This window comes from Homo sapiens, chromosome 9, assembly GCF_000001405.40.
Source record: "Homo sapiens chromosome 9, GRCh38.p14 Primary Assembly".
NCBI classification, from domain to species: domain Eukaryota; kingdom Metazoa; phylum Chordata; class Mammalia; order Primates; family Hominidae; genus Homo; species Homo sapiens.
Window position 1 is genome coordinate 129,056,076 of NC_000009.12, and position 14,145 is coordinate 129,070,220.

The following is a 14,145-nucleotide window of genomic DNA, read 5'->3' on the forward strand; positions in this document are numbered from 1 at the left end:
ATGATCTCATCACTGCACTGTAGCATGGGCAACAGAGCAAGACCCTGTCTCAAGAAAAAAAAAAAAAAAAAAAACTTATGTTGTTCAAGGGTCACATGTGTATTATTAAAATTAATTTTGCCCATTACTTTGTGCTATTTATTGTGGTCTGTAGCAAACATTAAATGTTGCACGTGGCTTTCCACTGGACAGCACTGCTCTAGAGCCACAGACACCTGTATTCAGTTTGTGGCACCACTAGTTCTACACTGTGACCTCAGGGAAATAATTCCCCCTTCCGAGCCTTGTCTTAGTTTCTCTGTCTGTCAAGGGAAATAAGAGTGTCTTTCTCCTAAGATCTCAGGGATAACTTAAAGAACTACAGTAGGCAATGCACGTCACAGAAGACTGGCCCATGGTGGCCACCAGTAAGGGTAGCTTTTAGAATAAATACTGTAATAATGACTTTTTTTTTTTTTTTTAAGACGGACTCCTGCTCTGTTGCCCAGGCTGAAGTGCAGTGGCACAATCTCGGCTCACTGCTACCTCCACTTCCTGGGTTCAAGCGATTCTCCTGCCTCAGTCTCCCAAGTCGCTGGAATTACAGGCGCACACCACCAAGCCCAGCTAATTTTTGTGTTTTTAGTAGAGACGGGTTTTCACCAAGTAGACCAGGCTGGTCTCGAACTCCTGACCTCAAGTGATCTGCCCGCCTCGCCCCCCAAAGTGCTGGGATTACAGGCATGAGCCACTGCACCCAGCTGAGCTCAGGAGTTCAAAACCAGCCTGGGCAACATGGTGAAACCCCACCTTTACTAAAAATACAAAAATTAGCCGGGTGTGGCGGTACGTGCCTATGGTCCCAAGTACTCAGGAGGGTGAGGTGGGAGAATTGCTTGAACCTGGGAGTTGGAAGTTGCAGTGAACCGAGATCATGCCACTGCATTCCAGCCTGGGCAACAGAACGAGACCCCATCTCAAAAAAGAAAAAAAGAAAGGACAGTCCTGATGAAAATCCTGACTGCATTTGCAAAAAACAGTAGAGTTAGTCTATACCTTCCTGCCTTAAATCTAGTGCTCACTTCTCTTCCATACTAATAAATGTCCTTTGTGGCATTTTTTTTCCAGAATAGGGCACTTTCATTTGCATTAGAAACCTATTCAGGCAGATATCCTTTCTCCTCAATGATTTTCTTTTTTAAAATTAAATATATATGTGTATTTTATATATATAAATTTTGTTGTTGTTGTTGTTGAGATGGAGTCTCGCTCTGTTGCCCAGGCTGGAGTGCAGTGGCTCTCGATCTCGGCTCACTGCAAGCTCCCCCTCCCGGGTTCATGCCATCCTCCTGTCTCAGCCTCCCAAGTAGCTGGGACTACAGGCGCCCGCCACCATGCCCGGCTGATTTTTTGTATTTTTAGTAGACGGGGTTTCACCATGTCAGCCAGGATGGTCTCGATCTCCTGACCTCGTGATCCCCCTGACTTGGACTCCCAAAGTGCTGGGATTACTGGTGTGAGCCATTGTGCCTGGCCCAATGATTTCCTTTCATTTATTTATTTATTTTGAGACAGAGTCTCGCTCTGTCACCAAGGCTGGAGTGCAGTGGCACCATTATGGCTCACTGCAACCTCAACCTCCCTGGGCTCACATGATCCTCCTACCTCAGCCTCCTGAGTAGCTGGGACTACAGGCACACGCCACCACGCCCACCTAATTTTTGTATTTTTTGTAGAGATAGGGTCTTTCCATGTTGCCTAGGCTGGTCTCAAACTTCTGGGCTCAAGGGATCCTCCTGCCTCTGCCTTCCAAAGTGCTGGGATTATAGGTGTGAGCCACCTCACCCGGTCCATTTTTCTTCTTTATGATTTCTTTAATAACATTTTCTTTTCTCTGGCTTAGTTTGGTATAAGGATACAGAATATAATACATAGAACATACAAAATATGTGTTAATCGACTACATTCTTATTAAGACTTCTGGTCAACAATAGGTTATTAGTAGTTAATAACCTACTAATAACTCCCCCTACTTTTAGAGGAGTCAAAAGTTATATGTGGGCTGGGCACGGTGGCTCACACCTCTAATCCTAGCACTTTGGGAGGCTGAGGCAGGAGGATTGCATGAACCCATACGTTTGAAACCAGCCTGGGCAATGTGGCAAAACCCTGTATCTACCAAAGATATATACAGAAGTTAGCCAGGTATGGTGATGTATGCCTGTAGTGTCCTAGCTACTAGGGAAGCAGAGACGGAAGGATCACTTGAACTCAGGAGGTTGAGATTGTGGTTAGATGTGATTGCGCCACTGCACTGCGGGCTGGGTGACAGAACGAGACCTTGTCTCAAAAAAAAAAAAAAAAAAGTTTTTTATGTAGATTTTCAACTATGTGGGCACAGGGGTGAGTCAGTTACCATAAGTCCACAATTTTCTTTCTTTCTTTTTTTTTTTTTTTTTTTTTGAGACGGAGTCCTGTTCTGTCGCCCAGGCTAGAGTGCAATGGCGCGATCTTGGCTCACTGCAACCTCTGCCTCCCAGGTTCAAGCAATTCTCCTGCCTCAGCCTCCTGAGTAGCTGGGACTATAGACACCCGCCACCACACCCGGCTAATTTTTGTATTTTTAGTAGAGATATGGTTTCATCATGTTGGTCAGGCTGGTCTCGAACTCCTGACCTTGTGATCTGCCCACCTCGGCCACCCAAAATGCTGGGATTACAGGCGTGAGCCACTGTGCCTGGCAACCTAAGTCCACAGTTTTCAAGGGTCAGCTGTACTTCATGTAACCTGGTATGTCCAGTATGTGATCATTTCAGCATGTAATCAACAGAAAAGATTCCTGAGACAGTCTATGCTTTTTGGTGCCGTGTTTGAAATCTGGTGTGTGTTTACACTCTGGGACTGTCCAGGTTTCCAGTGCTCAGCTGCCAGAAGTGGCTGGTGGCTCCTCTATCGAGCAGTGAAGTTTTGGAGTTTATGTGCTTAGCTGCTGGGTCCTAGAGCTCCTCCCCTTTCCCCAGGGACCTGGGGGTGAGGGAAGGGGCCATTTTCATCGGGAGCTTTGAGGGTCTGGGTTGAGGGTCCTTGTTTTTATGGCAGCCAGAGTCACAGCGGAAGGAGTTTGCAGAGAAGCTGGAGTCCCTGCTGCACCGTGCCTACCACCTGCAGGAGGAGTTCGGCTCCACCTTCCCCGCAGACAGCATGCTGCTAGACCTCGGTGAGCTGGGCCCAGTGCAGGTGGGGTGGGCGTGGAGGGTGGCAGGGATGGAGGTGAGGAGAAGTTGCGAGAACCGGGTCGTGGTTCTCTCAGTGCGTCCAATGAATCAGAATCCCCAGGGCTCTCCGACCTCGCGTGATCCAGCACCTTATGGCACAGATGGGGAAACTGAGGTGTTCCCTTCTCCATGGCAGGCTGGAGCAGAGCTGAGGTGAGGCCCAGAATCCCCAGCAAGTGCACCTGGCTCCATCCTCTTGGGTGCAGCCTTGGGGTTCGTGTGGCAGCATCTCCCTGATGGCTCTCCCAGGCCTTCGCTTCGAGTCCTTTCCTGTGGCTCAAACTGGGTGGGTGGATGGAGTGACTCACGGGAGGTTCACTCAGAGCAGGCCAAAGGCCAAGAACAGAAGTTCCTGTTGTTGGGTGCGCTGAGGTGAAATGATGTGACATACTGAGGGGGAACCAAGTTATTCTGCCAAACAGCCACTGTCCTCTTCGGACCCCTGCAGTGAATGACACCCTGGCCCCTCCCTGTGCACTCAACCCTGTGGGACCCTCAGACTCCTGAGGGTCCAGCTGCCTGGCTCTGCCAGTGGAGACACAGAACCGGAGTGGGTCGGCCGAGCCACGCACCCTGCCCTGGCTTCTCCCCACGTGCTCTGGGTGTGGTTTCTCTGTTGGAGGAATCTGCCTCCTCTGGCCTCCCTACATGGCAGAAAGGGCTGGGGGACCTTTAGGGTGGCCCGCCGCAGGTCTGTGGCCTTTGCTTATTTGCTCGACAATCCTTTCCTGAGCACCCTTGGAGGTCCACACCCCTCAGCCCTTGGGCGAGCACGGAGGGGAACTCCAGGTTAGTGGCTGTGGACTCTTTCGAGCCCTTGGTATCAATGGCTGAGTTTCAGCTTGTCAGAGGAGAGAGGCGATTTCCCCGGGGCCACACAGTTCAAGGTCCTCCCCCTGCAGAGCTTGGGCCTTCAGGCCTCAGGTCCAGCGGTGCAACCTGTGAGCCTGGCAGAGCCGCTCACCAGCCGAGGGCTCACACCTGAGGCTGACGACCTCCGAGGATGTCGTGGGTGTTGAAGGAGGTCACTCACTGAGGCGAGGAGTCCAGCGTCCTCACACAGAAGCGCTTGGCACGTCAGAGCTTTGCCATTGAGTGTGGGAATCACAGGCTCGGGATGAAGCCTCCCCTGGGCCTGATGGGGGACTTCGTGTACCGGGATTCCAGCTGAGCACTGTGTGGGGAGTCTCAGCCCCGCTTTCTCTCACTGCTCTTCCCAGAGAGGACCCTCATGCTGCCCCTGACCGAGGGCTCGCTGCGGCTGCGGGCGGACGATGAGGACAGCCTGACTTCAGAGGATTCCTTCTTCTCCGCCACCGAGGTGACTCGGGGTGGGGACCAAGCCTGGGGTGGGGTGAAGGCTGGGCCTCCTCTGCAGGTCCATGGGGCCAGCACTGGGTCATGGGAAAGTGGAGGCATTTCCTCTGATGGGAGAATTTGGATGCTCCCACGGGCCTCCTCGAAGCTGTTGGGGATGGGGGGTGCTGAGAAATCGGGGGCTGTTGTCCTGTGGGTGAGAGCAGGGGTTCCACCCCGAAGGGCTCCAGCCCGTGCTGGCCTTTCCCTTCTCCAGACCGCTGTGCCCATTGTTTGGCCTCAGTCTCCTGCCATGGGCACATGGATCAGGCACTGTGTCCTTCCTTGGGATGGGAGGACATGCACATGTGTCCTTTAGATGGCCTTTTTGGGAGGGACCCCTGGAGATGGGGATGCTGAGGGCCAGAACTGGGCTCGAACTGGAGCCTCCTGGCCAGTGTTCCCTCTGACATCCCCTCAGAGACGTTGGCAGTGGGCAGGCACCTGGGGTGGCCGCTGTGGCCGACCAATGGGCAGGTGCCCTTGCGCCGTGGCGTGCTGCTCACATGGGCTTCCCTGGTCTCTTCCTCTGCACCCTCTCCCAGCTCTTTGAGTCCCTGCAGACTGGAGATTACCCGATCCCACTCTCCAGACCCGCCGCTGCCTATGAGGAGGCCCTGCAGCTGGTGAAGGAGGGGAGAGTGCCTTGCCGGACCCTCAGGTGAGCAGGTGTGGAGGGAGGGAGGGAGGGAGCAGGAGGCGATGGGTGATTCTGGCCCTTGCGGGAGGCGGAGAAGCCAGCGGTGCTTGGCGAGGACTTAGCCTGAGTGAGTCCAGGCTGCCTGAGGGCCGTGGTGAGCTGGTGACAGCTCCTCCCCCAGCTGCAGAGGGCCTGGATGGACCCATACTGGCAGGTCTGATACCAATAATGACAGTAACAAATGAACATAATTAATAAAGAACAATAGTTACTACCAGTTCTAAATTCTGAGAGAGTGTATGCTTCTACAGCACATACACTGAAAAAAAAATTGGAATGATACAGAGAAGATGAACGTGGTCCCGGCATAAGGATAACATGCAGATTTACTAAGCATTCCATATGAAAACAAAAGTAAATTCTCAGCGGGTACAGCCACAGCCACACAGGGGGCACTGGTCCTAAGCGCAGTGTCTGGACACAGCTCCTCTGTAGGAGAGGTCAGGTACCCAGGCTGTGGGGACAGACAGGCCCAGACTCCAAGTTCTGCCACCCTGAACAAGTCGCTTAACTTCTCTTAGCCTCAGTTTCTTTGTCTGTGGTTATGTTTAGGCCTCTTCACTATCTTATATTAACGTTATTATTAACTTTTTTGTATTATTTTTATGTATTATGTATTATTATCTTATTATGATAAGAGACTGAGAACTTGACTTTTTTTTTTTTTTTTTGTATTTTTAGTAGAGATGGGGTTTCACTGTGTTGGCTAGGCTGGTCTCAAACTCCTCACCTCAAGTGATCCACCTGCCTTGGCCTCCCAAAGTGCTGGGACTACAGGTGTGAGCCACCACACCCAGCCTGAGAACTTGGCTTTTTGATCATGGCTTGCAGATTTCAGTATGTATGTTTAAAAGTTTATCTGGAGCTGGGCAGGGTGGCTCATGCCTATAATTCCAGCACTTTGGGAGGCCAAGGCGGGCAGATCACCTGAGGTCAGGAGTTCAAGACCAAGCTGGCCAATATGGTGTAAACCCCATCTCTACTAAAAATATAAAAATTAGCTGGGCATGGTGGCACATACCTGTAGTCCCAGCTACTTGGGAGGCTGAGACAGGAGGATCACTTGAACCCGGGAGGCAGAGGTTGCAGTGAGTGGAGATCGTGCCACTGCACTCTAGCCTGGGCAACAGAGCGAGACTCCATCTCAAAAAAAAAAAAAAAAAAGCAAAAAAACTGGGCCAGGCGCCATGACTCACACCTGTAATCCCAGCACTTTGCGAGGCCAAAGCAGGCAGATCACTTGAGGTCAGGAGTTCAAGACCAACCTGGCTAACATGGTGAAACCCCGTCTCTACTAAAAATACAAAAATTAGCCGGGCGTGGTGGTACGTGGCTGTAGTCCCAGCTACTTGGGAGGCTGAGGCAGGAGAATCACTTGAACCTGGGAGGCGGAGGTTGCAGTGAGCTGAGATTGTACCACTGCCCTCCAACCTGAGTGACAGAACGAGACTCCGTCTAAAAAAAAAAAAAAGTTCACTGACCAGAAATGAATCAGACACTGGCTGAAGTGATCAGGGTGATCTGCCACATCTGCTGTCAGGAGGCAGTTTGGCCATTTCAGTCCTTTGCCAGTGAAGTGTGGGGCTGGTTGTGGCCTAAGGAGGCCTCGGTCATCTCTGTACCCGGTGCCTGAGAGGCTGACACGTCCTCAGAGATCATCCAGGCAGCCTCGTCCTTTGGCCTGGGAAGACCAAGGCCTCAAGGGAGGCAGACGCCAGCCAGAGGCCACACTGCCAGGCTGAGGCAGGGCCAGGGCTGGAGCCAGAGCCTCCCCCCTCCCCACCCAGGTGCCACCTGACCCCCCGGGGCATCGCTGGGCAGGGACCAGGTTGTGTGACGCCGTCTGTCCTCCCCTCAGGACGGAGCTGCTGGGCTGCTACAGTGACCAGGACTTTCTGGCCAAGCTGCACTGTGTGCGGCAGGCCTTCGAGGTGGGTGTGGCCTGGGGGTTCCTCGGGGGTGGGAGGCAAGGGGTAGTCAGGCTGGCCATGGCTGTGTGGCATGTATGTGGCCTCCTGGTCCCTGGCCAGGCCTGCTCCCACACTGGGCTCCTCTGTGGCAGGTGGGCCACCTACCTGGCCTCTTATGTGGCCCTCTCCGTGGGCTTTGAGGGACTGCCGTGCCCGGCAGCTCACTCCCCTCCCTTCCTCCTTCCCTAGGGGCTTCTGGAAGACAAGAGTAACCAGCTTTTCTTCGGGAAAGTGGGCCGACAGATGGTGACAGGCCTGATGACCAAGGCTGAGAAGGTAGCAGGGGGTGGGGTGGGGGGGCAAATTATAAAATGCAAACCACAGAGGGTCCCCCTGAACCCCACCTGCCAGAGGGAACCCCTGTGCACAGGCTGATACACGTTCCTCCTACTCCGTTCTGTAGACTCTGCAACCGTGGATCTTGTTATTCCATTTCTAAGCCTTTGTGCCCTACTTACCATCCCGCAGTTTACCCTGGAGTGTGGCGGCATGTGGCGTCCGTCTCTCCATGCTGGCACTGGGAGGGGTTTTCCCCAGCTGCGGAGGGTCCCATTGCGTGGAGAGCGCCACACGAGGCCTCCATTCCCTGATGGAGGAACACCTGGGCTGTCTGAGGTTCACCATCACAGACAACACTATATAATCTTCCTTCTACTGCTCTCTTGTGAGGTTTTCTGTGGGGCAGAGCCTTGGATATGACATTTCTGGGTCCTGGACATTTAGAAGCCCGGCAGATATTGCTAGTTTGCCCTCCAAAAGGCCTTCACAACTTACATCACTGCCAGCAATATAAGGGTGTTTCCTTGCATCTCTGATTATTGATGAGGTTGCATAATTTTTTTGATGATTTTTTCGTCTTTTTTTTTTTTGAGACAGAGTCTCGCTCTCTCGCCCAGGCTGGAGTGCAGTGGCATGATCTCGGCTCACTGCAAGCTCCGCCTCCCGGGTTCACACCATTCTCCTGCCTCAGCCTCCCGAGTAGCTGGGACTACAGGCGCTCGCCACCGTGCCCGGCTAATTTTTTTGTATTTTTAGTAGAGACAGGGTTTCACCGTGTTAGCCAGGATGGTCTCGATCTCCTGACCTCGTGATCCGCCCGCCTCGGCCTCCCAAAGTGCTGGGATTACAGGCATGAGCCACCGTGCCTGGCCTTTTTTTTTTTTTTTCTTTAATGGGTTTGAGCAAAGCTTTTGAACAGGTCGGACAGATGATTCTAAAACACACATCTGACCTCACTAGCCAGCTGCCTACAACCCTCACTTGCGCCTGCTGCCCTTGGGGTGAAGGCCAAGCTCTGTTTGGTGGTTTGCTGCCCTGTGAGCTTCGTCCTGTCTGGCTGAAGGGCCTGCTTCTAGTGCACCAGACTTGCTGCCTGATCTGGGCTTTACATATGCTGGTCTCTGCCCCAGGAACACTGTTGCTCAATCTTGTTTTTTTTTTTTTTGAGACAGGGTTTCACTCCCGCCACCCAGTCTGGAGTGCAATGTCACGATCTCCGCTCACCGCAACCTCCACCTCCCGGGTTCAAGCAATCCTCCCACCTCAACCTCCTGAGTAGCTGGGATTACAGGCATGTGTCACCGCGCCTGGCTAATTTTTATATTTTTCATAGAGACAGGGTTTTGCTATGTTGCCCAGGAAGATCTCAAACTCCTGACCTCAGGTGATCCGCCCTCCTTGGCCTCCCAAAGTGCTGGGATTATAGATGTGAGCCACCACACCTGTCCTCAATCTTTTTTTTTTTTTTAAACTTTATTATGAAATACACATAGGAGAGAGTGTAAAAAATATAGGATTTGGCCGGGCATGGTGGCTTGCGCTTGTAATCCCAGCACTTGAGAGGCTGAGATGGGAGGATTGCTTGAGGCCAGGAGTTCAAGGCTGCAGTGAGCCATGATTGCACCACTGCTCTCCAGCCTGGCCAACAGAGTGAGACCCTGTCTCAAAAAATAAAAAACCAAAAAACAAAAAACCACCCAAAAAGTATCTATAGGATTTTTTTTTTTTTGAGACAGAGACTTGCCATGTTGTCCGGGCTGGAGTACAGTGGTGCGATCTCGACCCACTGCAATCTCTGCCTCCCAGGTTCAAGTGATTCTTCTGCCTTGGTCTCCCTCCCAAGTAGCTGGGATTACAGGTGTGCGCCACCACACCCAGCTAATTTTTGTATTTTTAGTAGAGACAGGGTTTCACCATGTTTGCCAGGCTGGTCTCGAACTCCTGACCTTAGGTGATCCACCCGCTTCAGCCTCCCAAAGTGCTGGGATTACGGGTGTGAGCCACCACGCCCGGCCTATGTATAGGATTTAATGAAAGACAACGCCTGTATAACCAGCACCCAGGTTAGGAAGTGGGACATATACCAGTAACTGGAAGCCCCCCACACCACTTTTTCCTGTGTCCTCCTCCCTCTCCCTTCCTTGGTCACTTGTCATCTGAGTACCCTTCTCTGTCCCCAGGAGGTCATCACCTGACTCATCCCCTGAGGCCCGAGAGAACCCTTGGGCTCACCGTGGCGGTGTGGCCTCACTACCCTGCCTCCTGCTCATGAGCTGCCTTGTCCTTCCTCCCCCGTTATTCAGTTAGCTCCATGAGGGCCAGTGTCAGAACTCTCCTGGCACAGATGTGTGCCCCATCCAGGGCCTAGCACAGGGCGGGTACTGCATCAGCACTCCTCGGATATTCTCCTGGCAGTGGCCGTTTACCTGGCAGTGAGCTCAGTGTATACTCAATGGTTCTTCACTGCGGGGAGTTCATTCGAGCCTCACTGCAATTTCTGCTTGGCGGATGAGGACACTGAGCCCAGGAAGGGAAGGCGGCTTGTCCAGGGTACTGAGCATGTGAAGGGTAGACTGGATTTGAAGCCAGGTGGCCCGGACCCAGCCTGAGCCCTTGACTTGGTGTCTGTGGGCCTCCCCAGGAAGCTGGGTGAGTGAACAAGTGAAGGAGGGTTAAGGTGGGTGCCAGGGCCCCACCCTCTGGGGAGCTCCTCTTTGTAACCTTCCCAGTATGGGACTTTGGTTTTATTAAGAAATGAGGCTGGGCGCAGTGGCTCACGCCTGTAATCCCGGCACTTTGGGAGGCCAAGGCGGGAGGATCACGAGGTCAGGAGATCAAGACCATCCTGGCTAGCACAGTGAAACCCCGTCTCTACTAAAAATACAAAAAATTAGCTGGGCATGGTGGTGGGCGCCTGTAGTCCCAGCTACTCGGGAGGCTGAGGCAGGAGAATGGCATGAACCCAGGAGGCGGAGCTTGCAGTGAGCCAAGATCACGCCACTGCACTCCAGCCTGGGCGACCAAAAAAAAAAAAAAAAAGAAAGGCTGGGCGTAGTGGCTCATGCCTGTAATCCCAGCACTTTGGGAGGCCAAGGCAGGCAGATCACAAGGTCAGGAGTTCGAGACCATCCTGGCTAACATGGCGAAACCCCGTCTCTACTAAAAATACAAAAAAAATTAGCCGGGCGTGGTGGCGGGCACCTGTAGTCCCAGCTACTCGGGAGGCTGAGGCAGGAGAATGGCGTGAACCCGGGAGGCGGAGGTTGCAGTGAGCTGAGATTGTGCCACTGCATTCCAGCCTGCCAATAGAGCGAGACTCTGTCTCAAAAAAAAAAAAAAAAAAAAAAAAAAATTAGCCGGGCGTGGTGGCAGGCACTTGTAGTCCCAGCTACTTGGGAGGCTAAGGCAGGAGAATGGCGTGAACCCGGGAGGCAGAGCTTGCAGTGAGCTGAGATCGTGCCACTGCACTCCAGCCTAGGTGACAGAGCGAGACTCCATCTCAAAAAAAAAAAAAAAAAAAAAAATCACGAGTTAATCCACTCTGAGAACCGACCCTAACACTTAGTGTTTTTCTACATCGTAAATGCAGACCCACATCTGAAAAGAGCATCCCAAACCCCAGCTAACCCCCAGGGTCCCAGAGAGTGAAGGATGTGTGCCGAGAGCCTCCGTGCCGTGCAGCGGCACTTTAAACGCTGTTTGTTGAATGCTTTGGCGCTGGACTGACTGCGTCACACACGAGCTCGGCAACTGCCCTAGAAGAGCCTCATCAGGGTGCGGCTGTAGCTTCTCCCCTTTCCTGTTGAGGTCCAAGGTCACGGAGATTTGAACCTTCAGCTGCCTGACTCTAACCCTCACATTCTGTGTCCCTCCAAAGTGAGATCACACTGTCACACTGGGCACTCCTGGAAGTTAGCAGGTGCTCAGCAGAGGAGCTGGCTTGAGACCTGACTGGGTGCCCTGGTTCTCTGGAGAAGCCTGCTGTGCTGAGTAGGAGACACTTCTCTGCCACGTTTTCTCTGTGCCTGCTGCGTGGGGATGGGCCCCAGCCGTGCCTTGGCATGTCCCCCATCCACAGGCCAGCCTGTCCCTGTGGGTCTTGTCCAGTGACCAGGATGGGCCGTGCTTCTCTCCACAGAGCCCCAAAGGCTTCCTGGAGAGCTACGAGGAGATGCTGAGCTATGCCCTGCGGCCCGAGACCTGGGCCACAACACGGCTGGAGCTGGAGGGCCGAGGGGTGAGTTGCTTTGTGCTGAACCCCGACATCCCGGGCTCCCCTGCATCTGAGCAGCAAGGGGGTTCTTGTGCCGAGCTCTAGCTCAGTTCCAAGCGGCTGAGACGGTTCCATCACTGCTCATAGTCCCCGGTTCCTGCCCTGCCCCAGGCCAAGGCAGAGGGAGGAATGGCCTCAGCTACACCCGTTGCACAGCAGAGCGGGAAAGACGTGTCCCCCCCACGTGTGCTCATGCCCTGGACCCCAGCTTCAGTCTCCCCATCTGGAAAGTGGCCCCGAGGCTCCGGCAGTGCCCCCATGCATGAGCCTCCCGGGGGCACCCTCTGTAGGTGGTATGCATGAGCTTCTTCGACATCGTGCTGGACTTCATCCTCATGGACGCCTTCGAGGACCTGGAGAACCCTCCGGCCTCGGTGCTCGCCGTCCTGCGGAACCGCTGGCTGTCAGACAGCTTCAAGGAGACGGTGGGTCACTGCCCTGCTCTCAGACCCACACTTGCTCACATCAGCCCGTGTGGTTGCCTGGCTCCGTCCCCTCTGTCCCTAGCACTGGCACCAGGGCTGGGCCCCCACCCCCTAGATCCGCGGCTGCCAGGCCTGGGAGACCAGAGTCTGCCCTGGAGAAGCCTCCAGGGTGCCCCGTTGCTGCCTGGTGCCCCAGTTTAGAACCAACATGGTGTGCGCTTTCTTCCTATTGTGTGGTTTTACTTTTGTGCTGGTATGAATTCGATTCCATTTTAATGCATCCTGTTAAATCAAGTTAAAAGAGGGGAAAGCAAAACCAAAAGGAAAAAAAGGCACAGAGTGAGAGACAACCCAGCACAGGACCCCCAGGAAGGCAAGCAGTAACGCTCCAGCAGCCGGGCTGTGCTGCCTGGGCCCAGGCTTCTGCGAGGTGGTTTACAGGCGGGAACCATTGCTCCCACAACCACCAAAGGAGGTGGGAGTGCTGTGTTGTGCCCCTTTACAGAAGAGGAGACCGAGGCTCAGAGAAGATCCAGCAGTAAGATTAGAGTCAAGATTCAAGTTTAGGTATGTCTGAGTCCAAAATCAGAGGAGGAAGCAGCAGAGCTTAGGCACCTGGCCCCATCTTCCTGCTTGGAGTGGGGTGAGCTGGGTTTAAGGGCTTGGTGCTGGGCTGGCAGAGGGCGAGGGGCTGTGGGCTAGGCCCATTTTGACACCCGGGGGACATCCTATTTTTGATGTAGGCCTTGGCCACTGCTTGCTGGTCGGTCCTGAAAGCCAAGAGGAGGCTGCTGATGGTGAGTGACTGGCAGGCCCGGGGGAGCACGAGCTGGGCTCTGAGGCAGCGTGGTGGGGAGCGGAGCGGGTGCAGGGTGGCTCGCTGGGCCACTTGGCCTTCACCGCTCACAGTCCTGGCCCCCTTGTTCCGCCGTTACCTCTCCCTGTGCCAGGAGCTCCCTGGAGGCTCGTGTAGACCCACTTCCTCTCCTCCCCAGGCCCAGCACAGAGCAGGCCACTGGGGAGGGGAACGGATACCCTAGGGTAGTGGCCACAGGGCTGGCAGCTGGCCTGGTGCAGGCGTCTCGGTGGGGGCAGGATACCCAGGAGCAAGCAGAGCCCTGTCCCTCCTGCCCTTTCCCCGCCCCAGTCAGGCCCCTGTAATCTCCGCTCCCAGGCAGCGACTGGCTGTGCTATCTGGCCTGTGGTTTGTCGTTCCCCTCTGCGGGCCAGGCTCTGTTGCCTAGCTGATACCAGCTGCCGTGGCCACGTGCTCCAGGCACTTCCCGCGGAGCCACTATGGCCCCACCTCTTGCAGTACTCACAGCGGCCCATGGTTACCCTGTCTGCAGAAGTTAAAATGGGCTTCGAAAGCTTGAGTCACTGCCCAGGGTCATCTAGCAGGAAAGTACATGAGCTGGGGCGACCTCTAAAGCCCAGCCCTTTATGCGACACCTGGGCCTGGTGCCCTCATCCTACCTGGGCCCCGCCTGGCCCCTCAGCCTTGTGCCCACCGCAGGTGCCTGATGGCTTCATCTCCCATTTCTACTCCGTATCGGAGCATGTGAGCCCTGTCCTAGCCTTCGGCTTCCTTGGACCCAAGCCTCAGCTTGCTGAAGTCTGTGCTTTCTTCAAGGTAAACAGAGAGCAGTTCTCGTTCTTTCCTGACCCTTGCCCTGAGCACAGGCGCCCTGGGAGGTGCCAGGAATGGGATGAGGGCCTGGGCCTGGGCCTGCTCCCAGAGAGAGGGCAGAGCCAGACCCACATGGGTCCAGAGGAAGCAGTGGGAGGGAGGAGCCTGGGGATGGAAAGGACCGGCTGGGGCTCTGGTGGTGGACAAGGGGACTTCAGGTAACCTGGGGGGCATCATGGTGGGCAGTGGCTGGGCCAG

The 14,145-nt window shown here is 54.3% G+C and overlaps 1 protein-coding gene and 1 pseudogene across 12 annotated transcripts in view, besides 2 other annotated features; both read left to right on the forward strand.

The window, feature by feature from the left end:
* MIGA2 (mitoguardin 2) overlaps window positions 1-14,145 on the forward strand; it is a 35,457-nt gene that overhangs the window by 19,450 nt on the left and 1,862 nt on the right. For 3 of the 12 annotated variants that reach the window (NM_001329990.2, NM_032809.4, XM_011519118.2), the window contains 9 exons: window positions 3,079-3,196; window positions 4,475-4,575; window positions 5,156-5,271; window positions 7,169-7,241; window positions 7,470-7,556; window positions 11,698-11,796; window positions 12,123-12,257; window positions 13,001-13,054; window positions 13,774-13,890. In NM_001329990.2, coding sequence (NP_001316919.1) covers window positions 3,079-3,196; window positions 4,475-4,575; window positions 5,156-5,271; window positions 7,169-7,241; window positions 7,470-7,556; window positions 11,698-11,796; window positions 12,123-12,257; window positions 13,001-13,054; window positions 13,774-13,890 — 900 coding nt within the window. Of the gene's footprint in view, window positions 1-3,078; window positions 3,197-3,384; window positions 3,408-4,474; window positions 4,576-5,155; window positions 5,272-7,097; window positions 7,242-7,469; window positions 7,557-8,731; window positions 8,851-11,697; window positions 11,797-11,943; window positions 12,901-13,000; window positions 13,055-13,773; window positions 13,891-14,145 lie in introns of those variants that run through there. The other 9 variants (NR_138421.2, NR_138424.2, NR_138423.2 and 6 more) reach the window with 8 other exon arrangements.
* Window positions 3,005-4,204: an enhancer, noted in NCBI's record as "MED14-independent group 3 enhancer chr9:131821359-131822558 (GRCh37/hg19 assembly coordinates)". NCBI's record gives its function as "activates an origin of replication core promoter dependent on BRD2, BRD4, P300/CBP and CDK7 cofactors, and independent of MED14, by STARR-seq in HCT116 cells {active_cell/tissue: HCT116}" and the evidence as "EXISTENCE:reporter gene assay evidence [ECO:0000049][PMID:35650434]".
* LOC124902334 (uncharacterized) lies at window positions 5,546-5,658 on the forward strand (annotated as a pseudogene).
* Window positions 13,682-13,821: an enhancer, noted in NCBI's record as "active region_29102". NCBI's record gives its function as "activates an Ori minimal core promoter by ATAC-STARR-seq in GM12878 lymphoblastoid cells {active_cell/tissue: GM12878}" and the evidence as "EXISTENCE:reporter gene assay evidence [ECO:0000049][PMID:35858748]".